The 27,119-nt window shown below is 35.7% G+C and overlaps 1 protein-coding gene across 28 annotated transcripts in view; it reads left to right on the top strand.

The window, feature by feature from the left end:
* The window catches only part of ZC3H13 (zinc finger CCCH-type containing 13), a 98,282-nt gene that overhangs the window by 38,330 nt on the left and 32,833 nt on the right, over positions 1-27,119 (top strand). For 27 of the 28 annotated variants that reach the window (NM_001382214.1, XM_047430207.1, NM_001382207.1 and 24 more), the window contains 4 exons: positions 2,863-3,002; positions 3,912-4,069; positions 11,081-11,278; positions 25,320-25,630. In NM_001382214.1, coding sequence (NP_001369143.1) covers positions 2,916-3,002; positions 3,912-4,069; positions 11,081-11,278; positions 25,320-25,630 — 754 coding nt within the window. In that variant the 5' untranslated portion in view covers positions 2,863-2,915. Of the gene's footprint in view, positions 1-2,862; positions 3,003-3,911; positions 4,070-11,080; positions 11,279-12,956; positions 15,092-25,319; positions 25,631-27,119 lie in introns of all 28 variants that reach the window. The other variant, NR_167893.1, reaches the window with a different exon arrangement.

The following is a 27,119-nucleotide window of genomic DNA, read 5'->3' as shown; positions in this document are numbered from 1 at the left end:
AAGTTGCTGATCAACACAGAGAGGGGAACATCACACACCAGGGCCTGTTGTGGGGATGGGGGGTGAGGGGAGGGAGAGCATTAGGACAAGTACTTAATGCATGCAGGGCTTAAAACCTAGATGACAGGTTGATAGGTACATCAACCTGTACCTATAGGTACAAACCACCATGGCACATGTATACCTATGTTACAAACCTGCACATTCAGCACATGTATCCCAGAACTTAAAGTAAAATAAATAAATTTTAAAAAAAGTTGCTGTATTAAAATTAAAGTTATGTATTGATGTTCTTAAGGCTTTTACCCATATTGACAAATAATTTTACAAGATAGATGTACTAGTTTGCATTGCTACTGCCAGAGAATGAGTATGTCCTTTATTTGTACCTTTACCAACAATTAATATTATAATTAGAAAAAATGGCTCCTGAATACATGAAAAAATATGTGTATACTTTCTTCATTTCTTTCTCTTTGTGAATTGCCTTGTAATGTCCTTTACCTGTTCTGTTAATTAGTAAGAATTCTTTATATAGAAAGAATCTTAACCTTTTCTTATGTGTTGCATATATTTTTCTGTTGTATATTCTTAAAAATATCTACCTTGTTAAATATACCTTTCTAATTATACTTGATATTTTTCTGATGACTTAACAATCATTTATGTGAATCAATTTTTATAAGGCAAAATTGTAGTGATAACCTGAAGCTACATGAGAGACATTTTCTAAATTTATTAACTGGCTTCAGACTCTTGTTTTTGAATTCCATCCTGTATTTTGTACTTCCTGTTTTTTCTTTTGTTGTCAAAATACTGTCAGTTGCAATGTGCCTATCTTGTAGTCCATCTCTTACAGGTTAGGAAAATATCTGAGTTTTTATTATATGCGTAAAATAAGCACCTTCAGAATAAAGACCTGAGAGCTTTTCTTCTGAGCAAACTATATTAGTTATATTTACTACATTGACTAGACTTTTTATTTATTTTGTTTTTTTTTTTTTGAGACGAAGTCTTGCTCTGTTGTCAGGCTGGAGTGCAGTGGCACGATGTCAGCTTACTGCAACCTCCGTCTCCCGGGTTCAAGCAATTCTCCTGCCTCTGACTCCTGAGTAGCTGGGACTCTAGGCACGCGCCACCTCGCCCAGCTAATTTTTGTATTTTTAGTAGAGACGGGGTTTCACCGTGTTGGCCAGGATGGTCTCGATTTCTTGACCTGATGATCCGCCCTCCTCGGCCTCCCAAAGTGCTGAGCTTACAGGCGTGAGCCACTGCGCCTGGCTGACTTACACATATATTTTAACTGCTCAGGCCTCTCCCCCTTGGTTGGATAGTTGAAAATTGAGAACTGAAAGCCAGCTTCTTCTTTCTTTTATGTGTTCTGTATTGGTGATATTTCCAGTTGCGAATTTTTAGATTGGCAGTGCCTTACTGATAATACAGTACCGTCAGAAACACTGTTAATCATTCTTCTCAATTAACTACTCTTTCCGTTGTTTTACCTGGGTATTTGGTTATGGAATTTTATTGAATTTAGGAACATAATCAAACCAGAACATTGACTCCTATTATTCACTGATGTAAAGTATCTCAATAGAGTACAAAATAATAACTGGAGATAGCTAGTATTCACTTAATTAAATTCAGTGTCTTCATTTTATCTAGTGAAAACTACTTGCCCTTAATTAAATATTTAGTAATTGCTTTCTGACTGAAAAACATGCTTTAGCCTATTTCATATATTTACTGAGAAATTGTCATTGTACTCCAACATAAGATGAGTAATCAAGCTTAGTCACACAGGTAGTGAATATATATAGTTACCCTCTCAGTCCCCAAGCATGAATGGATAGTTGTCATTCTAATGCATTTGAGCAATATATAACAGTGATGTTCATTTTCTTGGGTTTTAAGCAGTCAAGTAGGACTTCTTATGTTTGTTGTTTTTTTAGTTCTTCATTTTATTTCTTTTCCCAAGGTTAAGATATGATCTAAAGTGCTAGAAGTATATCTTGAGAAGGCACCTCAGTTTGTGGTCAGTCAAGTCCATCGTGGTCAATGAAATTCCCACCTCTAGGCTCCTGGGCATTTATGGCAAATGAGCGTGATGGGTTTGGGTGCTAGTGCCAGCAACTTCTATGTATTTTAATGAAATAGATCTACACACCACTCTTGATTTTTTAACCAATCTTCATAGCTTTTCATCAGAAAATATAAATGGAAATAGAAATATGGCATCAGATCCGTTGAGACGGACAGTTGTGATCTAAGGAAATAGTACAAATCACTTGTAAAGAAAATGTCATAAATCCTTTAAAAATTAGTTTATGTACACATTAGTACTAAAATTACTTTAGTTTTAGATATTAATCATTTGTCTCACAAATTTTAAAACTGAAAAGCCTATGGAAGCAATGTTGCACACGTAATATAACCTCACTTTGTATGATGTATTTTAGTAGCGTATCTTTAGGAAAATCAAGGAGATAATGAGTCGCATCGTATACAGCATGAAATATTGAAGGCTTTGGTATCTTTAAGGCTTAGAAATTCAGCTGAGTGCATTTTGTCTTTTAAAATTCCATCTCCTAACAAAAAACCCAACTTCCAAACAACCCAAAATTGTTTCCAGAAAACCCAGAAACTTCCAAAATATTTGGCTTTTCATGAAGAAATCAACCATGGTGATTTTAATCCTTTATAGAAATGGTATCTATTTCTTTTATCTTTTAGAAGTATGTGATCCTGATGAAAGACTCTGCTATTTAGATTTGTGTAAGAAATTAGTTGAAAAAAGTCTGTATGATTTTTGGCATAGATAATTATGCTAGTTTCTAACAGTAATGCAATTTTATTTTAAAGATTCTGACAATGGAGATATTAATTATGATTATGTTCATGAATTGTCATTGGAAATGAAGCGTCAGAAGATACAGAGGGAATTAATGAAGCTGGAACAAGAAAACATGGAGAAGAGAGAAGAAATTATCATTAAAAAGGAGGTATGCTATTTATTGCAATAAATATGTTAGTACTTAATAGCAGCATTTGTATTGATCAGATAACTCAGCTTCTTGCTACATCTTAAATTATATTAGTATACTGATATATTGATCAACCCACTGTATATGTACTACTCCATATATATTCATTTAATTTTCACATTATTCTATTAGATAAGTAGCAAATATTTATGTTATTGAATAGGTGAGCAAAGCTAAGAGTTTGTTGCCTAGAGTCACCAGCTAATGTAACATGGGGTTTGAATCTGCCTATGTCTGTTTCAGGCCCATGCTATTTCTAGAATGCCTTGTTTCTTTTCTAAAAAGTGAAGATACAGTTAATTTAAATATAATTTATGATTTTTCTGAGGAGATTTTGAAATTTTATGATTTTAATTTACTTTATTGAAACTGGTATATGTTAGGACAGTTATATTGCTTAAAATCATGGATTCAGGAGTCAGACTAATATCAACAGATAGTGGTTATTATAATTTTATTATTTTTATTTTTATTTCAAACTTTTTTTGTAGGGATGAGATCTTTCTCTATTACCCAGGCTGGAGTGCAGTGGCACTCACTGCAGCCTTGAACTCCTGGGCTCAAGGGATCCTCCCATCTCAGCCTCCCTAATAGCTGAGACCATAGGCACCTTCCATGCCTGGCTTTTTTTTTTTTGTATAAGAGATAGGGTTTTTTTTATGTTATCCAGGCTGATCTCAAACTCCTCACCTCAAGCAATCCTTTCACCTCAGCCTCTCGAGAAACTGGGATTACAGGTGTGAACCACTGCACCCGGCAATAATATTTAATTTTAATCTGAAGTTTGGTGTGATTCTAAAATACTGTAAGTCTTGTTGTACCATAAGTGGAGGAATTTCTGAATTGACTTACTGAATTTTTTTAAAGGTTTCACCAGAAGTGGTTAGATCAAAATTGTCCCCGTCACCTTCTCTAAGAAAGTCTAGCAAATCTCCGAAGCGAAAATCAAGCCCGAAGTCGTCTTCAGCTAGCAAGAAAGATAGGAAGACATCTGCAGTATCTTCTCCCCTGTTGGACCAGCAGAGGTCAGTAGGGTGATAAATAGTATCGAGAAAATAGCTTTTTCTGAAGTGATACTAAAAAGAATTAGTAGGTTATAAAAGGGTACTTTTAGTACATTTTATATTTAATGTAAGCTTTTTTGTTCTAAAAAGAAATTTGAAATGTTTCAATTAAAAAGACAATTATAGAGAACAATAAAACAAACATCTGTGTAACATCCACATATGCTTCAGAGCTTTTTATTTTTTAAGAAATAAAAATACAAGATACATTTCCTGTTCCTCTCTTAAATCTGGTGTTTATGATACTTGTGCATGTGTTTATACTTTAACTAATATGTGTTCTGCAATGTATAGTATTGCTTTCATCTATTGTAATAGGGATATATCATAACCTTCTGCACATTGCTTTTTCACTCAACATTTTTTATGTTTATATTGATACATATAACCTTAGTTCATTCATCTTAGTATTTATATTATAAATTTGTCTGCTTTTCTGTGGAACATTTATGTTGTTTCCGATTTTTAAACTGCTACAAATTATACACAAAAAATTTTTGTCTTTCAGTATATATTATCAAGAGATTGAATTCTTTATAACTTAGAATTACTGTAGAAGCCAGTTGAAGAAGTAAAAATAGAAATGATTATATTCAGGGACTAAGAATAAGGAGAAGATACATTTTCATTTAAGGTCACTCTGAACTATTTATATTTTATTTTAATTAAAGTCCATACCCTAATTTTATCTTAAAAAAAATGAACTAAAAATATCTTCTACCTAAGATTTAATCAGTTAACAAGCCCTGTCTATTTGAACCTGTAATGAAACTCATATTTATCTCCCTCCTTCTAGTTCCTAGAAACTAACCCTATTTCAGACTCTACTTAACTTTTTGCCTAGATTATTATATCACTAACTATATTGACTTTATGTAGTTTCTACCCACCACCCACACAGGTGAACATTTTCATTCAGCTACCTCAACCCATTTATTTTGTAGATGCTGTCAGAGAAATCTTAAAAGGACAATTCCAATTAATTTATTATACCATTGAAAAACTCAGTGGTTTTTCATTCTGTAGAATGAAATTCAGATTCCTTAGAATGACATTTACACTTTGGTCTTTTCTTTCTTGTCAGTAGTTTTTGTCCAGCTTCCTCCTATCTACCCCCTTCTATCTCAATTCTTCAATCTCTAGCTCAAATTTTAAGTTTTCCCATTTCTCTTTATGGAACATAAGTTCTGTTCCCTTTAGGTACCTATCAGATTTTGCTTATACCTCCATGTTGATAATAATTGCCTGTTGCATTATATTTCAGCTGTGACTTATGTTTTATAACCTTTATTAAATTTAAGCTCCTTGAAGATTGGGATCTTGGTTATTCATAGTTCTGTCTTCTCATAGTGCCTACTTGACATAGAACTTTGCATTGTAATAAGGCACTTAGTAAAGTTGAGTTGATCCTCTCCCTCATATTGCCTACTTGGCATAGAACTTTGCATTTTAATAAGGCGCTCAGTAAAGTTGAGTTGATCCTATCCTTTGTTCATGCAATTGAGTAAATATTGCAAAGGTATATTGAAGAAGTTGAATGAACAGAGAGTGATACGCTCCACTTCACTTGCTCTTATCCTCTTGGCTAACCAGCTATGTAACTTTCCCTCAATTCTATTCATTTCCCCAATAAACTGCATACTAGAAATACCCTTTCTTCCTTGTCTTATCTGTTCTGTTTATAGAATATTTGAAACTTAATCTTTTCATAGAAAGTTTTGATAACTATTTAGACAAAGGGTTAGTTTCATCTTTTACATACAATCTCTTTTGCTTCTTTATTAGTAACACATCCTATTATAAATATTTGTCATGAATAATCATTCACACTGGTTTAATTACTGTATTTCTTATATTCTACTATGTTGTTGACTTTACGATGCACCGTTAATTTAATAATAAAAGCAAAAGGACCTGGAAAAACAGTATATTAAAAATACAAAGAAAACATTTAATTGAGTATAGCATTTCTTTTCTTTTTTTTTTTTTGGAGTATAACATTTATGCAGTTTACATTTCCTAGAGTGTGTCAAGTAATCATCTTTTAATTTTATTGCTGGATCATACTATCAACTCAGAACATACTAAGCACATGTAAGGATTAGAATTTCAGTTAAAACTCAGTGGAGTATTTTAACCAGTGTCAGCCAACTGAGGTGTGATAATCAGGTAAACAAATTTCTTGGTGGTCTTACTAGGTTATCATATTGAATGGAAAGATATAATTACTGACAAATTAAAACTTACACTTTTCCCTGAAAGCTGGCATTTTTCTTTGTTTGACATTTATTTTGAGATATAGTCTGATAGTAAGATTTGTCCTGATATATGAGATATGGTATAATCTAAAATCATAAATATATTACCTATTCTGTCCATCTGCACTTTTAATCTTAGTTTTTATTAGGTGAATTTTTCTTTATAGCTCTTTGTACAGAGAATATTAAGTATGTCAAAAGCTAATCTAAAACAATAGTTTTGAAGAGAGAGAGAAAAGATTAAAAACTGATAAAAGTAAACAGGTGGGCTCTTTGCCACAAGTCTGAAGTAGGCTCTGTGCCACTGAAACAACAATTAGTTGACTTTTTAAATGTTGAAGATCTTGGTGATTTCAGAATACACAAAACCAGTTTTGGCCTCTTCAGTTGGAAAGCACTGTAACGTAATTGTGTTTTCTAACCACATATAATTTTGATGGTAATGTGAAGAAATGCTGTACTTTAGTAAGTATATTAGAATAGTCCAGATTGTGATTATAGCCAAGTCCCAAAATGTCGGTGGTTTAACACAACAGAAGGTTATTTCTCACGTAAAGTCAAAATGAGTGTTTCTGATTGACAGATGGCTGTCCTATATATGGAGATTGAGTAACCCAGGCTCCTTCTGACCATGATTCCACTTTCTTGGGTTTTCAAGGAAACCAAAGAACGGGATGTACAAAGAAAAACGGAAATTGAGTATTGCAGTTATTTAGCTCTATAGTTTACAATTGCCTGGCATATGAGAGCCCTTTGAAATTTGGGCCTGGAGGTGGTATACATCATTTCCACTCACGTTCCTTTGGCCAGGTCTTGGTCACTTGGCCATGCTTAATTTCAAGAAAGTGTAGATAGTATGGTTTACCACTGTGCTCAGAAGAAAAGTTTGGTAAACCCCCTGCTAGTCTCTGTCACAGGTGATAATGTAAAAATAGTTTGTGTCAAGAATTCCTTTGTTGTTTAATCATGAAATTTTAAAAGATAATTTTGATACAGATGCTAATTATTGATCCGTTTTTATCTTTAAAGTAGAAAAGTATCCAGAAATACAGATATTTATCACATATCTGTTAGGGTGCATAAGAAGATTGAGTCATCTCATGAATATGCAATGAGATATGTGGCTAATATAGTTGTTGGCAGAAGACAAGGATGAAAACTAGATTTAGTCGTCATATTTTAGTAATTTCCTACTTGTTTACATGGTTAACGCTATGAGTGATAATAAGACATAGGGATGAGGACTAAGAGAGCTACATTTTCTCAATGCTATGAGTCAAGTGCTTTTAAAATATTGCCAGCAATTTTGAGGTAGATACTATCTCATATATATATATGGCTAAGAACTCTTGGGACTTGAGAATTCTGAGAATTCAGCATGATAGGAAATAAGTTCTAGGATTTTAGGCTTAGGTCTTCATTTATAAATATCAGTAGATAGTGAGATTAGTAGATAGTGAAAACTCACCAGATGTATGAAAAGGGTTACTTGCAAACCTAGTACCAGACTGAACACTCTGAGCAGATGGCTTACACAGAAACGTTAATACAGTAAACAGGAACAAACTTAAATTATAAATTCATTTATAAGTTTAGTGCAATTTGTGAGGATATTGTATTTAGAAGACAAAAGCAGTTGATTATGGGAAAAAAACTGTGAACAACTATATTTTTATTTTATTTTATTTTATTTTATATTTTTGCAGGAGACTGGAGTTTTATTAATCAATCTCCCTGAGCATTTGGGGATCAGAGTTTTAGAGGACAACTTGGTGGCGGGGCAGCAGGGAGACTGGGGGAAGCCAGTAAGCCAGGAGTGCTGACTGGTCAAGTCAGAGATGAAATCCGAGGGAGTCGAAGCTGTCTTCTTGTGCTGAGTCAGTTCCTTGGTGGGGGCTACAAGATCAGATGAGCCAGTTTATCGATCTGGTTGGTGCCAGGTTGAACAACTTTTTTTTTTTTTTTTGGGACAGAGTCCCACTCTGTCACCCAGGCTGGTGTGCAGTCAGCTCACTGCAACATCTGCCTCCTGGGTTCAAGCGGTTCTTCTGCCTCAGCCTCCTGAGTAGCTGGGATTACAGGCGTGCGCCACCACACCTGGCTAATTTTTGTATTTTTAGTAGAGGCGGGGTTTCACCATGTTGGTCATGCTGGTCTCGAACTCCTGACCGCCTCACGATCCGCCCACCTTGGCCTTTCAAAGTGCTGGGATTACAGGTATGAGCCACGTCGCCCAGCCTGAACAACAATATTTTAAAAGAGAAAAGAGTTCAAATGGAAAATCATAGAATAGGACAGATGCAGTGGTCTGAGGTGGACAGATCACTTGAGCCCAAGAGTTTGAGACCAGCCTGGATAACGTGATAAAACCCTGTCTCTACAAAAATATGAAATTTAGCCAGTTGTGGTGGTATGCACCTATACTCCTAGCTACTCAGAGGGCTGAGGCATGGGGATCACTGGAGCCCTGGGGGTCGAGGCTGCAGTGAGCCATGATTGTGCCACTGCACTCCAGCCTGGGCAACAGAGCGAGACACTGTCTCCAAAAAAAAGAAGAAATCAAAAAATAGCAGAACAACGAGATTGCCAAATTTAGAATTAGCAAAATGAGTACTACTTTAAAAATTACTGAATATAAAGACAGATTTAAGATCCTGGAAAAGCAGGAAAAATGGAAATGACAGAGACATCTAACATGGAGGAGAGATCCAAGAGATACAGTAACTGTGTAATAAAGAGAACTGCAGAGACTTGGGTCATAAGGAAAAGTTTTGAAATGAAAATAGAAGAAATTGAGTAAAAAGTTTGAAGTTTCAGATTGAAACAGTCCATTTAGTGCTGGAAAAGATTTTTTGAAAATACCTGGATTTAGTGAAAATCTTTTTCCAGTGAGTAATTTTCAAGGGATAATGTTCATAAGCATGCCAACAGAAAAACCAGCTTACCTGAATAGTAAAAAATTTGATTTTCTTTGGACTTCTGACCTGCAACGTTAAATGTTACAAAATATTTTAACTAGAGCTCTGAGGTAAAAGGATTTTGACATGAAAATGCTATATTCAATTAAACTATTGTTAAAGTAAGAGGCAAAGACAGCCAGTTTTGAATGTGTATGGGATCAAAGTTATACTATTTACTTAAAATTACTTAAATTGCCAAAAAGAGGCACTTAAAGAACAAAATTTGTACCCCAAAATCAATTACAAGTAGATTAAAGACAAATGTGAAAGGCAAAATTACAAAATTTTAGGAGACCATCTTTGTGACCTCAGAGTTGGTAAAAATTTCTTAAATAAGATTGAGAAATTTATGATGAATATATACTGACAGTGGTTGATATTTCATTTGTAGATGATGTAATTGTGTTTTTTGAATAATGATGAAAACCTGGAAGCCACCTGAAAAACTATGAAATTGTTTTAGAAAGTTTTGGAGCATCTATTCAGGGAAATTCTATACAGTCAATAAAAATGATTACCTAAATCTGCTTTTTTAAAAAAAATTTTATTTTGAGTTAGAGTCTTACTCTGTCACCCAGACTAGAGTGCAGTGGCGCAATCTTGGCTCACTGCAACCTCTTTCTTCCGGGTTCAAGTGATTCTCCTGCCTCAGCCTCTGGAGTAGCTGGGATTACAGGCACCCACCACCATGCCTGGCTAATTTTTGTATTTTTAGTAGAGATAGGGTTTCACCATGTTGGCCAGGCTGGTCTCGAACTCCTGACCTCAAGTGATCCACCCCTCCCTCCTCTGCCTCCCAAAGTGATGGGATTACACCATGCCCAACCTAAATCTACTTTTTGTTACAGAAAGATGCTCACACTATGTCTATGTTCAATATTTGAAAATTTTGCAAAATATTGTAATAGGATATCCCATGAATGTATGTGACACACACACACACACACACAGAGTTACCATTTCCAATGATGAGAGAAAATAGTTGTGACTATATATATATATGATTTGCACATATTTTCTCGCATTCTATAAGTTGCCTTTTCACTTTGTTGATTGTGTCCTTTGACATGCAAAAGTTTTAAAATTTGATTTAGTCTCATTTGTCTATTTTTGCTTTGTTGTTACCTGTGCCTTTGGTGTCATAGCCAAGAAATCATTGCCAAGTCCAATGTCATGAAGCTTTTCTTCTATATTTTCTTTTCGGATTTTTATAGTTTTTGCTTTTATGTTTAGGTCTTTATTTTGAGTTAATTTTTGATCTGGTGCAATGTAAAGGTCCAGCTTCATTCTTTTGCATGTGAATACCCAGTTTTAAATGAATAGACAGAGAAAGTAAGATATATGGCAAAAGTATGTAAATATTCAAGATGTTAAAAATAGTTCTCTTTGAGTAGTAGAATTATAGGTGATTTTTACTTTCTTTGTCTACTTTTCTGTCTTAAAAAAAAACAGTTTAAACAGTCATTGTATTAACATCTTTTCTGAAAGTGTCTTCCTATTTCACCTCTATCTTTTCTCAGAAACCTGCCCCTTTAAAGTTATATAATAATAAGCAGTGTTAACAAAATAAGTATCAAGTAAATTAATTCTTCAGCCATTTCTGTTAGTTTTTTTTTCTTCTTGATATTGGTTAGTAGTATACAAAATAATAAAGGGCAAGTAATGTAAAGGAACGCTGCTGTTTTTAAGAAGGCTTTAAAAAATATCCTTTTGGCATATTTGAACCTCTAATGATAGCTTTTTGTTACCTTCAGAAATTCAAAAACCAACCAAAGTAAAAAGAAAGGACCACGTACTCCTAGTCCACCCCCTCCTATACCAGAAGATATCGCTCTGGGGAAAAAATACAAAGAAAAATATAAAGTAAAAGACAGGATAGAAGAAAAAACAAGAGATGGAAAGGACAGAGGACGAGATTTTGAACGACAAAGAGAAAAGAGAGACAAGCCAAGGTAAGTAGGATTGTATGTTTTTAACAATATTAACTTTTGTAGAATATAGAATATTTACTTTTCAGAAGCCGTTGGGCATTAGCATATTGGGTTTTTTAGTTTTGTTTACAATAGTGTGTATATTTATTTTAATAATTCCCATAATAATTATTATTATGAGTCATGGATAATTCAGTAAGCCTTAATTTTTACAATTTATTTTTCAATTTTTTATTGTGGTAAAAAAACAAAATGTACCATCTTCATCATTTTAAAGTTTATAGTTTGGTAGTGTTAAGTATTTTCACACTTGTGAAACAATTCTGCAGAACTTTTTCATTTTGCAAATCTGAAACTCTGTATCTGTCAAAAAATAACTCCCCCTTTCCACCTTTTCCCAGCTCCTGTTAACTATCATCCTGTTTTGTTTCTGTGAATTTGACTGCTTCAGATACCTTATATAAGTGGAATCATACAGTGTTTGTCTTTTTTGACAGGCTTATTTCACTTAGCAGAATGTCCTCAGGGTTCCTTCTTGCTGTGGCATGTGACAGGATTTCCTTCCTTTTTAAGGCTGAATAATATTTGATTGTATGTATATGCCACATTTTATTTATCCATTCATCCATTTGATGGGTGTTTGGGTTCTTTCACCTCCTGGCTATTGTTGATAGTGCTGCTATGAGCATGAATGTGTAAATAATCCCTTTTGAGACCCTGCTTTCAGTTCTTTTGTATATATACCCAGAAGTAGAATTGCTGGGTCATATGATAATTCTATTTTTAATTTTTTTGAGAAACCTGCCTACTGTTTTCCAATGCAGTTGCACTGTTGTACATTCCCACCAACAGTACACAAGTGTTCCAGTTTCTCCATACCTTCACCAACACTTAGTTTGTTTGTTTTATAGTCGCCATTCGAATAGGTGTGTTTATCTCATTGAGGTGAGGTGTTATCCCATTGAGGTTTTGATTTGCATTTCTCTGATGATTAGCCATGTTGAACATCCTTTCATGTGCTTGTCGGCCATTTGTATATCATCTTTGGAGAAATGTCTTTCCAATTCTTTGCCCATTTTTTAATTGGGTTATTTGATTTTTTTTCTGTTGAGTTCTAAGAGTTCGTTATATATTCTGGACATTAACCCCTTAACAGAGATAAGATTTTAAAATATTTTTTCCTATTCCATATGTTGCTTTTTTTTTTTTCACTCTGTTAATTGTGTCTTCTTGACATGCAAGAGAACAGTTAACTGAAGACTTCAGAGTTCTTAAGTATGTTTTCTTAGACTATACTCTATATTTTACTCAGTCCAGCAGGTGTGTTTGTGAAAATTACATGTAAATGTTTTTGGTGATTGACATTCTATCAGTAATAAATGTTTTTGGTGATTGACATTCTATCAGTAAAGCCTTTAGTTTTCCCTAATGGTTCTTTGTACTTTTATTTTGGTATTTTGACTAAGAAGTCTCTGAGAGTTGGTTCTTAACACCTGTTGCTAGGTAGTTTATCATTTAAATGGTAAAAACATTTGTGTTATGAGGAGTTGAATATTACACAGGCTTATCCTTCATTTTCCAGTTTTTCTCCCTTGGTTATCCCTAAATGGTATGCATAGGACTCACCTGTTATTTAGTATGTAGACAAATCTGAACTTGGTTTTTAAATTTATTTTTATTTTTTATTTTTTCATCTAAGGACATGAAACAACAGAGCTAGGAATACTGGAAGATTATGTAAATACCTGATCTGCACGCACTGGAGTTCTAAAGCCATATGTGACAAGACATTGGAAAAAGACATTTTGGTTTAGGAAGAGTTAATTACCAAGGTTCTTAGGTGGGGCTGTTATTTTCATTTGTCTCCATTACTCTGAATGAAGAAATTACAGGCGCACCAATTTTATTGAAGCTCACAGATGTTGTGTATTTTTACAAATGGAAGGTTTGTGGCATCCCTGCATTAAACAAGCCTATCAGTGCCATTTTTCCAATAACATGTGCTCACTTTGTGTCTCTGTAATTCTTGAAATATTTCAAGCTTTTTCATCATTATTGTATCTGTTACGATGGACTGTGATCAGTAATTGTCGCATTACCATTGTAATTGTTCTGGGGTGTCGTGAACTGCACCCATATAAAACAGTGAACTTAATCTGCAAATGTGTGTGTTCTGACTGCCCTACTGACTGGCTAGTCCCCTGTCTCTCACCATCTCCTTGGGCCTCTGTATTCCTTGAGACACAACAATATTGAAATTAGGCCAACTAATAACCCTATGTGTAGTGGCCTCTAAGTGTTCAAGTAGAAAGGAAGAGTCTCTTACTTTAAATCAAAAGCTAGAAGTGATTAAGCTTAGTGAGGAAGGCATACTGAAAACTTAGGTGGCAAGCTAGATCTCTTGTGCCAGTCAGCTAAGTTGTGAATGCAAAGGAAAAGTTCTTGAAGGAAATTTAAAGTGCTACTCCAATGAACACATGAATGGGAAGAAAGCAAAACAGCCATATTGCTGATGCGGACAAAGTTTGAGTGGGCTGGATAAAAGATCAAAGCAGCCACAGTTGAAATCAGCCACAACATTCCTTTAAGCCAGAGTCTAATCTGGAGCAAGGTCCTAACTCTCTTTAATTCTTTCGAGGCTGAAAGAGGTAAGGAAGCTGCAGGAAAAAAGTTTGAAGTTAGCAGAGGTTACTTCATGACATTTAACGAATGAAGCCATCTCCGTAGCACAAAAGTGCAAGATGAAGCAGCACAAAAGTGCAAGATGAAGCAGCACATGCTGATGAAGAAGCAGCGGCAAGTTATCCGGAAGATCTAGATAAGATAATTGATGTTGGCCACACTAAACAAATTTTCAGTGTAGTTGATACAGCCTTATTGGAAGAAGATGCCATCCAAGATGTCCATAGCCAGAGAGGAGAAGTCAATGCTTGGCTTCAAAGCTCCGAAGAACAGGCTGACTCTCTCGTTAGGGGCCAGTGCAGCTGGGGGTTTTAAGGTGAAGCCAGTGCTCATTTACCATCCTGAAAATCCTAGGATTTTTAAGAATTATGCTAAATGTACTTTGCCTGTGCTCTTAAGTGGAAAAACAAGCATGGATGACAGCACATCTGTTTACAGCATGGTTTACTAAATATTTTAAGCCCACTATTGAGACCTATTGCTCAGAAGAAAAGATTCCATTCAAAATACTACTGTTTGTTTATGATGTGCCTGTTTACGCAGGAGCTCTGATGAAGATGTCAGGAGAGATTAATAGTTTCATGCTCGCTAAGACAAAAGGCACCCTACAGCCCATGGATCAAAGACTAATTTTTACTTTTGAGTCTTATTTAAAAAATACATTTTATAAGGCCACAACTGCCATAGATAGTGATTCCTCTGATGGATCTGGGCAAAATAAATTGAAAACTTTATGGAAAGGATTTACTGTTCAAGATGCCATTAAGAACATTCGTCATTCACAGGAGGAGGTCAAAATATTAATAGTTACAGAAGTTAAAAGAAGTCAATTACAACGTTCATGGATGACTTAGAGAAGTTCAAGACTTTATTGAAAGAAGTAACTGCAAATGTGGTGGAAATAGCAAGAGAACTAGAATTAAAAGTAGATCCTGAAGATGTAACTGAATTGCTGCAATCTCAGATCAGACTTGAACGGATGAGGAGTTGCATCATATGGATGAACAAAGAAAGTGGTTTCTTGAGATGGAGTCTACTCCTGGTGAAGATGCTAGAAACATTTTTTTAAATGACAGTGACACCAAAGAATTCAGAGTGTCACATAAACTTTGTTGACAAAGCAGCAGCAGGGTTTGAGAGGATTGAGTCCAGGTTTGTTTTTTGTGTATGTGTGTGCTGTTTTTTGTTTTTCTTCTCACTGTAACCCAGGCTTAAGTGCACTGGCGTGATCTCAGCTCACTGTGTCTCGCTATTACCCAGGCTTAAGTGCACTGGCGCCATCTCAGCTCATTGTAGCCTCCGCCTCCCATCAAGTGGTGAAGTGATCCTCCCACCTCACCCTCCCAAGTAGCTGGGCTTACAGGCTTGCGTTGCCACACTCAGCTAATTTTTAAAATCTTTTTGTAGAGATGAGGTCTCGCTATGTTGTCCAGACTGATCTTGAACTCCTGGACTCAAGTAATCCTGCCTTGGCCTCCCAAAACATTGTAGTTATAGGCTTGAGCCACCATGCCCAGCCGACTGCAGTTTTGAAAATTCTACTGTGGGTAAAATGCTAGCGAACAGCATCACAAGCTACAGATAAATCTTTTGCGAAAGGAAGAGTCAATTGGTGTGACAAACTTCATCATTGTCTTCTTTTAAGAAATTGCCACAGCCTCCCCAGCCTTTTGCAACCTTCATCCTCGTCAGTCAACAGCCATCAGCATCAAGATAATACCCTTACCCACAAAACGGTTAAAACTCTCTGAAGGCTTAGATGGGTGTTAGCATTTCTTTAACAATAAAGTATTTTAAAAATTAAGTTATGTACTTTTATTTTTTTTTTTGAGACGGAGTTTCGCTGTGTCACCCAGGCTGGAGTGCAGTGGCACAATCTTGGCTCATTGCAAGCTCCATCTCCTGGATTCATGCCATTCTCCTGCCTCAGCCTCCCGAGTAGCTGGGACTACAGGCGCCCACCACCACGCCCAGCTAATTTTTTTTTTGTATTTTTAGTAGAGATGGGGTTTCACTGTGTTAGTCAGGATGGTGTCAATCTCCTTACCTTGTGATCCTCCCATCTCAGCCTCCCAAAGTGCTGGGATGACAGGTGTGAGCCACCGCGCCCGGCCTGTACTTTTTTAGATATAAATCTATTGTACACTTAAAAGACTACAGTATAGTGTAAACATAACTTGTGTGTGTACTAGGAAACCAAAAAATTTGTGTGGCTCACTTAACTGTGATATTTGCTTTATTGTGGGAACCAAACCTATGTTTCTGAGGTGTACCTGTATTAATTTTAAAACTAAACAGTATCTTTGTCACTGTCTTCAGATTGATAAGGAATGTAATTAAAGGTTAATGTCTAAATTCCTTTTGGAAAAAATTGCCCTTTAAAAATACTTTAAATGTCATAATGGGCGTATTAGTAGTGTTTTGTTTACTAGTAGGTGTTGTGCTTAAGTAAAATTGCTAATTCATTCATCCAACAGTTACTTAAATACCTGTTCTAAAGCTGGTATTGCAGCAGTGAGCAAAAGTGTTTCCAAAAGTTTTGTTAGTACAGGTAGAAGTAATATAGTGATGGGGTGTGTGTGTGTATGTGTGTGTTTGTAAAATAGTGTTTCCAAATACGTGGGTTTTGGCTTTGGGTTTGTTTTTTTTTCCTTCAAGTATGACCCACTAGGCTTACTGGATATAAGCGGTTGCTTACATTTCTTAAAGGATGGCTCTCTATTGAGTTACCCATTTACATGGCATAGGTGTGCATACACATGGCATAGGAGATGCAACAATGCTACACGATCCTCTGACTTTAAATCCTTCTAGCTGTTCTCTGTGTCTCAGTTGTCCAAATTCAAAAATAAATTGTAACAGTTAATGTTTACTGAATTATCCATTACTCATAATAGATAATAATTGTGTCTCAGTTGTCCAACGTTCTGTATCAGGTGCTTCTAACCCGAAGTCCACTGGTGGATTTTAGGGGTCTACAAGTTTCTTGAGTTATGTATAAAACTTTGCCTGTGTATGTGTTTTGGTGAGGGAGAGTGCCCATACCCTTCTAGAAAAGTTCATGATTTTCCCTTCTCCAAAAAAATGTTAGAATTATGAATCATTCTTGAAGCCTAGGACACTAACCTGATGTCAAGGATTTGAGTACTTTCCTCCCAAACTGTCATTGGCATATCAAGTTTGTTAAAAATGTACTCTTCCCAGAGTATTTGTAAGTTTAATACGAAATTCTATCATGTGGTTAATTTTTAATTGAATAATTTGGAGACTTCGGCCCTTAAATGAATGTCATCAGTGTCTTCCAACTTAACTTTACTCAGCTTTGATTTATTTATTCAATGTTGATCAAAACCTGAGTACTACTCATTTACGCAGAGAAAAAGCCTTATGGATTTATTACTGTGCTTTCAGAAAATATAGCAATTTCCCATAATATTTTTTTAAAATAAACTTTCCGTGACCTACTCTACAGAGAATAGTAAAATACTATTTCTGCCCCTCTTATCCTCAGGGAATACATTCCAAGACCCCCAGTAGATGCCAGAAATGGCAGATAGTGCTGAACCTTGTATATACTATGCATGAATTTCTTCTTCTTTATTCATAATTTCATGTATAGACTATTCCTTCTTATTGTAGATTTTTGCAACCTCAGCATACAGTTTTTCTTCTTAAGAACTTTCATGTTTTCACTCAAAGGAAGTACTTTATGGCTTTTTTTTTTTTTTTGTACATATTCAAATTGCCAGCATCACTCTTCTTTGCACTTTGGGTCATTATTAAGTAAAATAAGGGTTACTCGAACTGCATAATTACTGTTATTGCCAAACTGCAAGTCAATCTGATAACTGAGATGGCTACAAAGTGATCAGCGAGCAAGTGCATACAGTGTATAGTGGTTGCGGTAGAGTGGAACGACAAAAGATTTCACTGTGCCACTTAGAACTGTGTGCAATTTAAAACATATGAATTGTTTATTTCTGGAAGTTTCCATTAGTATATTTGGACTGTGGTTGACCAGGGAAAGCAAAACAGCAGGTAAGCTGGGCCTATTGTAGTGGGAACCCAACAAACTAATTTTTTTTCCTGTAAATTGTTTAGAAGAGATGTAAATCAAAGGGAAATTAAGTTTATTTTAGGTATTTAGTCAGAAAGATAATTTTTGAAGGGAATACTCTGTGTCAATATTCCTAACCTATTATGTCTAGATAATCCTAAATTGAATATTTATAATGATCTTTTGGTAGATGTAATACTTGCTTTTATCAGTGTACTCACTTATATTAGTATATATTCTTTATAGTTTCCCATGCTAAATCAGGAAAGTAAACTAATACATTAGTAGTATTTTAGGAACAAGGGTTTAAACACAAAATCTTCTTGGATAATAATCAGAAAAATTATCTGACAATTGCATGTAGCTCATTCTGCCAGATATTTTGGTTTCAGTATGATTCTGCTGACAGGTGATATGTTTTAATCATAATGCTAGGTTGTAGGACTTTGTGGTCAAATGAAAAAATAGTACTCAGAGCATAGCTAACTAAAAACACAATCATTCCAACACAATTACCTGAGTGTAGAAATCTGCTTATTACTTGATAGTAGTTGGATCAGGTTGTTCTTGTATTGCTATAAAGAAATACCTGGGACAAGGTAACTTATAAAGAAAAGAAGTTTAATTGGCTCATGGTTCTGCAGGCCGTACAAACATGGCTCCAGCATCTGCTGCTGGTGGGGCCTCAGAAAGCTTACTAGGAGGAGGTATGCTGAAGTAAAAGTGCTAATTCATTTATTCATCCAACAGTTACTTGATTACCTGTTCTAAAGCTGGTATTGCAGCAGTGGGCAAAAATATTTCCAAAAGCTTTGTTAGTACAAGTAGAATAATGTGGGGTGTGGGTGTATGTGTGTAAAATAGTGTTTCCAAATATGTGGGGTTTGTAATATAGCCAAACATGATTATATTGCACACTAAGCTTACGAAAGGCTTGTGTTAAGAATGAAATCATGTTATAAACATCAAAACAACTCATTCACAAGGGATAAAAAAGAAGCCTTTCACATTTAGTCAAATTAACCAAGGCTTGGACTGTCTTTAGTAGGTGTGATGTTGGGAAAATTTGTTGAATTCAGGAGAGAAACTCATATCTAGAAAGAGTTTATGACCCTAAATAATTGTACTTTTAGCTTTTGTCCAACTTGCTTTGCAAAATTGGAGACTTGAGGAAGGCTGTTCTCAAGTATTTTCAGAGAGGTTTTTAGTAGCAGCTGGTGGTTCGGAAGTTTAATCCTATTCCAATAATTGATTCAGTCAGAAATGCATAATATAGAGTCAATTCTGTAAAGAATGTAGGGCTGTGTTATAATGACATTAATAAAATAGCCTCTACCTGCACTGTCAAAATCCATCCTAATCTGGCTGTGGTCTGGTGCCAGGTGGTGGCGTTTTTTTTTTTTTTTTTCACTGATAGTTAAATGACCGTAAGAAGAATTTTGGCTCCTGTGACTAGATGGGACTTCCAGGCCATTGGCAGGGATTTCAAAAATCTCCCTTGCTTGGCACCCAGTGGCCTGATCTGGGAAGGTATTATGTCTGGGAAATGCAGATTGGGGACTTCTGCACCTTCCTCTTCCAAAACTGGATTATCTACTGTTTCTTGGCCTGGTTTGGTCCTCTGCTTCATATTCTTGCCACCCTACCCTATCCCCAGCAGAAAGTAGTAACTTTAACTGGTTCCACCAAGCGGAAGGAGCCAGTTGTCTTATGCCAATGTGTGTTGTTTCTGGGTTTTATTGTATTTTAAATATCGATTCTCTTACTCTGGGAGCTTAAAAACAATCCACATGCGTGCGGCAGGAATACCAGCTATTTGTCTTTTTCTAACCCTTGATCACATTGGTAGGTACAGCTTTTAGTTCAAGCCATGTTGTTGAATAAGTCTATGTAAGGCTCTTACCTTGAACCACGTTTCATAAAAGTATTAGTTGTTAAATTATTCTGGATTTGAATAGCATTAAAGGATGGGTTAATTTAAGGGTTGTCTTTAACATTTTTTATTCTGAGATTGAAACTTTGGAAATTACAGTTGACCCTTGAACAATGAAGGGGTAGGGGGTCAACCCCTGTGCAGTTGAAAATCCTTGTATAACTTTTGACTCCCCCCAAACTTAGCTACTAATAGCCCACTGTTAACTGGAAACTTTACTGATAACATAAACGTTTGATTAACACATATTTTGTATGTTATTTGTATTATATACTGTATTGTTATTACAAAGTAAGCTAGAGAAAAGAAAATGTTAAGAAAATCATAAGGAAGAGAAAATATATTTACTATTCATTAAGTGGAAATGGATCATTATAAAGGTTGTCCCTTTGAGGAGGCTAGAAGTGCAAAAAGGAGGCGTTGTTCTTGCTGTCTCAAGGCTGGCAGAGGCAGAAGTAAACTCACACGTAAGTGTGGACCCTGTGTTGTTCAAGAGTCAACCATACTGCGTTTGTGCATGCAAAAATGAAATCTGAACAAAATTATTAGTACCTTAGTGAATATTTTCTTGTATTATCTAGAACTTACATGAGGGTTTTTTTTAATCAAATCTGTTTTACAAGTATCATTATGTATTTATGGAGGAGTGATCTTTTAAAAGATTCCCACAGACAAGTGTCCTCCTAGTTCTGTAAGATTGTTCAGTTAGAAATGATTCCCTTTCCAGGGAGTATTTAGCCTGCTGCAAAAGAATAGCAAGCTACTAGGTGTAAAACAAATCACACAGAAGCATTTTCTTTTTTCATCTTACAGGTTTATTTAGACGAGTAAGATCTTGTTATATTTTAAATGGCACTTAACCACCTATCACTCTCCAGTGCTTTCTCTCATGCTTAGAATAAAATCCAGACTTTTACCATGACCTGTGGCCCACATCTGGCTCTGCCTGCTTTCTGATTCCCTCATGAGACTCTGTTCTCTCATAAATTGTGGTTCCACTTGGCTTCTTTCTATTCTTATACATCAAGATCCCTCCTACCTCCTTTGTGCTTATTGATCCTAAAGCTCTTGCCTCAGATCTTCAGCACTTGGCTCAAATATATCCTCTAGTAAGGGTCCTTTCCTTACCAAGCAACCTAGAGTAGTCACCCTGACATAGTTTTTTGTGTTTTGTGATCAAGGGCTAGAAAAAGACAAATAGCCGGTATTCCTGCCACACACATGTAGATTGTTTTTAAACTCCAAAAGTAAAAAGCACATACTTTTTGTGTTTTTTTGGACCTAACAGTTCTATTTTGTTGTCCTTTTGTATAAATGTTGTTACATTAATTAGCAGAAATTGTCTTGCTTTGTCATTGTTGGTTTGCTCCCTGGACCATAGACTCTGTTACTAGATAGACTGGTTTCCAGTCCTCCCTCGATGTATTAGTCAAGGTTTTCCAGAGAAACTGAACCAGTAGAAGATATGTCTAGAATGAGATTTACTTAAGGAATTGGCTCATGCAATTATGGAGGCTATAAAGCCCTGTGATCTGGCTGCAAGCTGGAGACCCAGGAAAGCTGGTGGTGTAATTCAGAAGCGTGAGAGGTAGAAAGCTGCCTCCATTCAGAGTGTAAGACCTGAGAAGCAAGGGTAGATCAACGTTCAGCTCAAGCAGTCAGGCAGAGAATGTAACCTTCCTTCACCTTTTTGTTCTGTTCAGGCCCTCAGTAGATCAGATGATACACACATTGGTCAGGGCCATCTGCTTTACTCAGTTTACTGATTTCAAATGCCAGACTCTTTTAGGAAGCCCTCACAGACGTGCCCAGAAATAATGTTTAGCCAGATATCTGGGCCATTCCATGACCCAGTTAACCCAGTTATGTCAGAAGTTGCAAATTTTTTTGTGAAAAATCAGACCTTGGCCATGAGACCTTGAGCAGTAGGATATAAATAACTCCCACAAGTTTAGTATTCCAATAATGGAACACTAGGCATAAATGGATTAAGTTGACACATAAAATTAACCATGACATTCAATTACCTTATTAGATTGTCATAAAGATTAAGTGAGTTAATATATGACAAGCACTTAAAATAGTGTCACACACATAGTAGCAATATACGTTACTTGCTATTATTAATGTCATTACTATTATTATGTTAGTGGTTTTGTTCTCTTCATTTCTGTATCCTCATTGCCAAAAATAATGCTTGGAGCTTAGTATGTGCTCACTTAATATTTGTTGAGTGAATTAAAATGATTTAATAAATATAAACTTCATATGTAAAATAATAGAACCTAAATATTTCTACTTGCAAAATGTGTATTATGTTGTATTTTATCACTGAAAACAGAGATGATTTTGGTAGTGCCCATATTACCTTTGTGTTTTAAAAATGTATACATTTTACATGATTTTAAAGGTTAAAATATGAATGTTAGTGCATTATGTAAGCATATTTTCATATTTGAGAAATAGAAACCATTTTTTGAAAGAAACATTGGTGTTACTATTTTTAAGTAAGTCTGGGGTAAACCTATTAGTTTGCAGGTGAAATTACTTGCATCTTGAATGAGAGTTTTTATTTTTAAATTTCTTAACTTTTCACATTTTTTCCCAAAATGAAATATACCCTGAATATTCTCATTCCACACCACATCATATCCTAATTATAGCAGCACTAAAAAGTGTTTGATTGGAATCTAGTCAGACCAAAGATCAACTTTCCCTGGATACAATAAATCACAGTGCTCTTGATTACATTATACAGGTTTTTGTTTTAAGGTATTAAGCTTCTCTTCATTAAATAAACTTTCCTTTTTTCTTTATTTGAATTTCAAGTTTCACTAATTTTTTCCCTCAGATAAGAAACCAGCCAATTATAAAGCATAAGACGAATTAATCTGAAGTTACTTCTATTCTAAGTGGAAATGTACTTTACTATAGCTCTGTAATAGTCTATAGCCAAAGTACTATTAATTTTCACCAGATTTCAAGACAGTTTCGTTGCTTAGAATCATACCTTTTATATATGCAGAATGGACGTAGGTGAAGGTTGAGTAAAAAGAAAATATGATTAAAAAGTTGAAGCCATTATTTGACAACCCATTAGTGTTCTGACCTTAATGTGATAGCCCGATTATCCTAAGTTTGAAGTTTTTTCTTCCATGCTATAGCCATCAAGTTGAATAGAAACATGATTGGACCCTAATGTGTTTTTTAAAGGTAGTATATGTGAACTGTTTTGTTTTTTTAAGTTTTATGAACTAATAACTCAAGGCTATTGTAGACATTCTTGAAACAATTTTAAGTATACCCCAGAAATAAACACAGAAGTAACCAAAATATCAGTTCAATGGAGAACCATTCATTCTTTAGTTTTTTAAATTGACGAGAACCATCAAGCATGGTGGCTCATGCCTATAATCCCAGCACTTTAGGAGGCTGAGGCAGGATGATGGCTTGAGCCCAGGAGTTCAAGACCAACCGGGGTATAGTGAGACCTCGTCTCTATAAAAAATAAAACAAAGTAGCTGAGTGTGGTGGCATGTGCCTGTAGTCCCAGCTGCTCGGGAGGCTGAGGTGGGAGGATCACTTGAGCCCAGAAAGCCAAGAGTGCAGTGAGCCATGATCATGCCACTGTACTGTAGCCTGGGTGACAGCGAGACCTTGTCCCCCCGCCCATCCCCCCAAAAATTTACTAGAACCTAATGACATTGAAATTGAAAACAACCAGACAATACTGACTCTAATTTTTACTCTTGCAGTGATTTTTCTGTTCAGTAGGATGCATTTAGATGGGCATTGATCATAAATGGTTTTCCAAATTTGGCTAAGACCCGTTGAGTATTTCCACTCATATTAGCTGTTAAGTTAATAAATTTCTATTTAGAGTCAATTAAATTTTAGTAGCTTATGGCTTATCTTTTTATGTTAGAAAGGAATCACTATTTTATTAAAAGTATAAAGCTTTAATCAAGTCACAGAAAACTTGATGTTTAAGTGAGTGTAGTGTTCTAGTTAGCTGACTTTTCATTTACTGTCACCCAGAGGTATTTTTATTTGCCTAAATTCTTTTCTGCATATTCTTTCTAATATATTAGATCACATTCCTGACTTAGTAACATAGTTTATAGATTGAAACCTTTTTTTGATAAAAGGTTTACTAAGGCATCATTTATAAACAACATAGTTTAAGGTAGTGGTTCTCAACTGGGGGTGATTTTGCCTGGTAGAGGACATTTGGCAATGTCTGGAGTAATTTTTTATTGTCATAACTTGGAATGGGAGGGATGCTACTGGCATCTAGTGAGTTGAGGCCAGGGATGCTGTTAAACATCCTATATATAATGTACAAGACACTCCCCCTCCTCCGAAGAGTTACCCAGTACAAAATGTCAGTAGTGCTAGGGTTGAGAAACTGGTTTAGAATTAGTAATGATTTGTGCCATCACTGCACATACTAAAAAAATGTTTATCATAGACACTGAAGATAATTACAGAAATACTTTGACTTAAAAAATCAGAATTTTTTTGAATAAGCTTTTAGCTCTTGAGATGATTGCTTTGAGGAATATTTATCTGGGCATGTCTAGAATATTATATTTTAAACATTATTTCCTGCTGCTTCTTAGTTATTGCACAAAAGTTTGGACAGGACCCAGGTATAATAGACTCTAGGAGTGATTCAGATGTGCTTAATGATCACATCTGTTTCATGAGGTTATGTGTTGTTTCTCTGGTAGCAGTGAAAGAAAATGATTTGAAGGGAATAGGGGAGGCCTTAGTTGAACCAAGAACTATGAACTAACTCTCAGTTTGTGCTGCCCACAGTGAAGGCAGATTACTTAAGTTAAAGACAGTATATATTTTGTTATCCTTTCCTTAATTCTAGGATTCTTTCATAGTCCTAAATGTCAACCCATGCAGCGTGGACTTTTTGTTTGCCTTAGCTGATGCTACCTCCCCTTTTACCATAGCCATGAATTTACAGGCATTCTCAAAGCCACTTTCTCTCTAGATCTCAGTAGTATGTTTTGCCATAGTTTGTGGGTTTTCTCCCTCTAAGTATTTGTTCACACTTTCAGAGATTATCAGAGTGAATTCCATACTTTAAGTTAGGGTAGATGGTGTATGTTGGAAAATGCAGTGTACTTTGGCACCAAAGCCTGGGAGAAAAGCACTGCATATCTCTTCTTGAACTGTTGCTTCTAGTTGACTTAAAGTTAAGTCACGTCGTTAAAAAAGTGACTTACTTAGAATTTTACAGCATTGTGAATTAAAATTTATTCTGAAGTTATTGTCTATACTTTCATATTCACTTTTTTGTTTTTAAAGATTTTCCTTTGGCTAGAAATGAAGCTCTTGAATACATGTTTTATTGTTATTGTTTTCCCTTGTAGGTCTACTTCCCCAGCAGGACAGCATCATTCTCCTATATCTTCTAGACATCACTCATCTTCCTCACAATCAGGATCATCTATTCAAAGACATTCTCCTTCTCCTCGTCGAAAAAGAACTCCTTCACCATCTTATCAGCGGACACTAACTCCACCTTTACGACGCTCTGCCTCTCCTTATCCTTCACATTCTTTGTCGTCTCCCCAGAGAAAGCAGAGTCCTCCAAGACATCGCTCTCCAATGCGAGAGAAAGGGAGACATGATCATGAACGAACTTCACAGTCTCATGATCGACGCCATGAAAGGAGGGAAGGTGTGTACTGTACTTTGATTTTTTTAATTGAAAAATTGAACATCCAGCTTTATTGTTGTACTAAGAGATGGAGAAAGACTTTGCTATGTTAAGTCTTCTGTAACACACAGACTAGAATTTTTGAGGGCAATAGGAGATGCTTAACAACATGGGAATGTTAGCTGTTAGGTGTATACAAGTTGGTATTTACAGGTATACTAAGCTGGTGCTTTCTTTAGTTAAGATGTTCTGGCCGGGTGCAGTGGCTCACGCCTGTAATCTCAACACTTTGGGAGGCCGAGGTGGGAGGATCATGCGGTCAGGAGATTGAGACCATCCTGGCTAATATGGTGAGACCCCGTCTCTACTAAAAATACAAAAAATTAGCTGGGCATGGTGGCATGCACCTGTAGTCCTAGCTACTCGGGAAGCTGAGGCAGGAGAATTGCTTGAACCCGGGAGGCGGAGCTTGCAGTGAGCCAAGATCGCACCACCATACTCCAGCCTCGGCAACAGTGCAAGACTCCATCTCAAAAATAATAACAATAATAATAATAATAAAAGATGTTCTGCTGAGTAAGTACTCTCAAGTTCTAGAAATTTTTGGCCATCTGATTCTTAGAGCATCCTTTTCAATCACTGAGTTAATGTCTTTTGAAAACAAGGAGGTGAAGGGAAGAAAAGCAACAAATCAGAGAGCGTAGTTTGAAAGCATCAGAAGTGTTTTGATAAAGGAGTGAGGGCTGGGGGGAATTGTTAGAAGGTCATTGCAAACCGAGTCATCAAATTTCTAGGTCATAATAAAGAAGTAAGCGAAGCAGTTTTCCTTTCTAGATCCCTGAGAATTAAGTTAACTTTGGATTTGCTACTCCCTATTCAAGCTGAGATTTTATTGTTACCTGGCAATAAAGCCTGTTTAATAGCTCTCATCTCTTTCTTTACTTCTTGTCTAAGCTTCTGGTCTTCGTAGATTCAACTTAATAAGTCTGTTTTCTAACTTCTCCTGTGTTCATTTTTTAACATAGTAAGTACTCAGGAAATGCTTACTTGGAACAACATTTATATTTAATATGCACTTTAAGCGCCTCTTGGTGAGTGGAGTACGGCAGTCTCCTATGAAACATGTTGAATTTAGTATTCTCTTCCTATCAACAATGCAAGCAATAATCAGTCGGGTTCTTTTGTTCAAGAAAATGGCGGATGAGAATGATATTCAAGAAAATAGGCAGGGACTGGAGAAAGCACCTATTTGATAGAATTTTTTTTTTGTATGTATGATTTTGGAACTAGGTCAGCACAGCAGTGTTTATGAAACATTGGTAAGATGGGAAAATTCTCTTATATTGTACCTTTCTATAAATTTTAATAAGATATTTAACAACTAGAGTTGACCAGGAATATAGTACATATTTAATGACTACTTATTGAATGAAAACTCCATTAACATTATTAAACATACTAAGGAAGGGAAAATAATAAGCAATTGAGTCTCATAGGAATGCTTGTGTTA

Source organism: Homo sapiens, chromosome 13, assembly GCF_000001405.40.
Source record: "Homo sapiens chromosome 13, GRCh38.p14 Primary Assembly".
NCBI lineage: Eukaryota > Metazoa > Chordata > Mammalia > Primates > Hominidae > Homo > Homo sapiens.
This window is presented reverse-complemented; position numbering and strand designations above follow the sequence as displayed.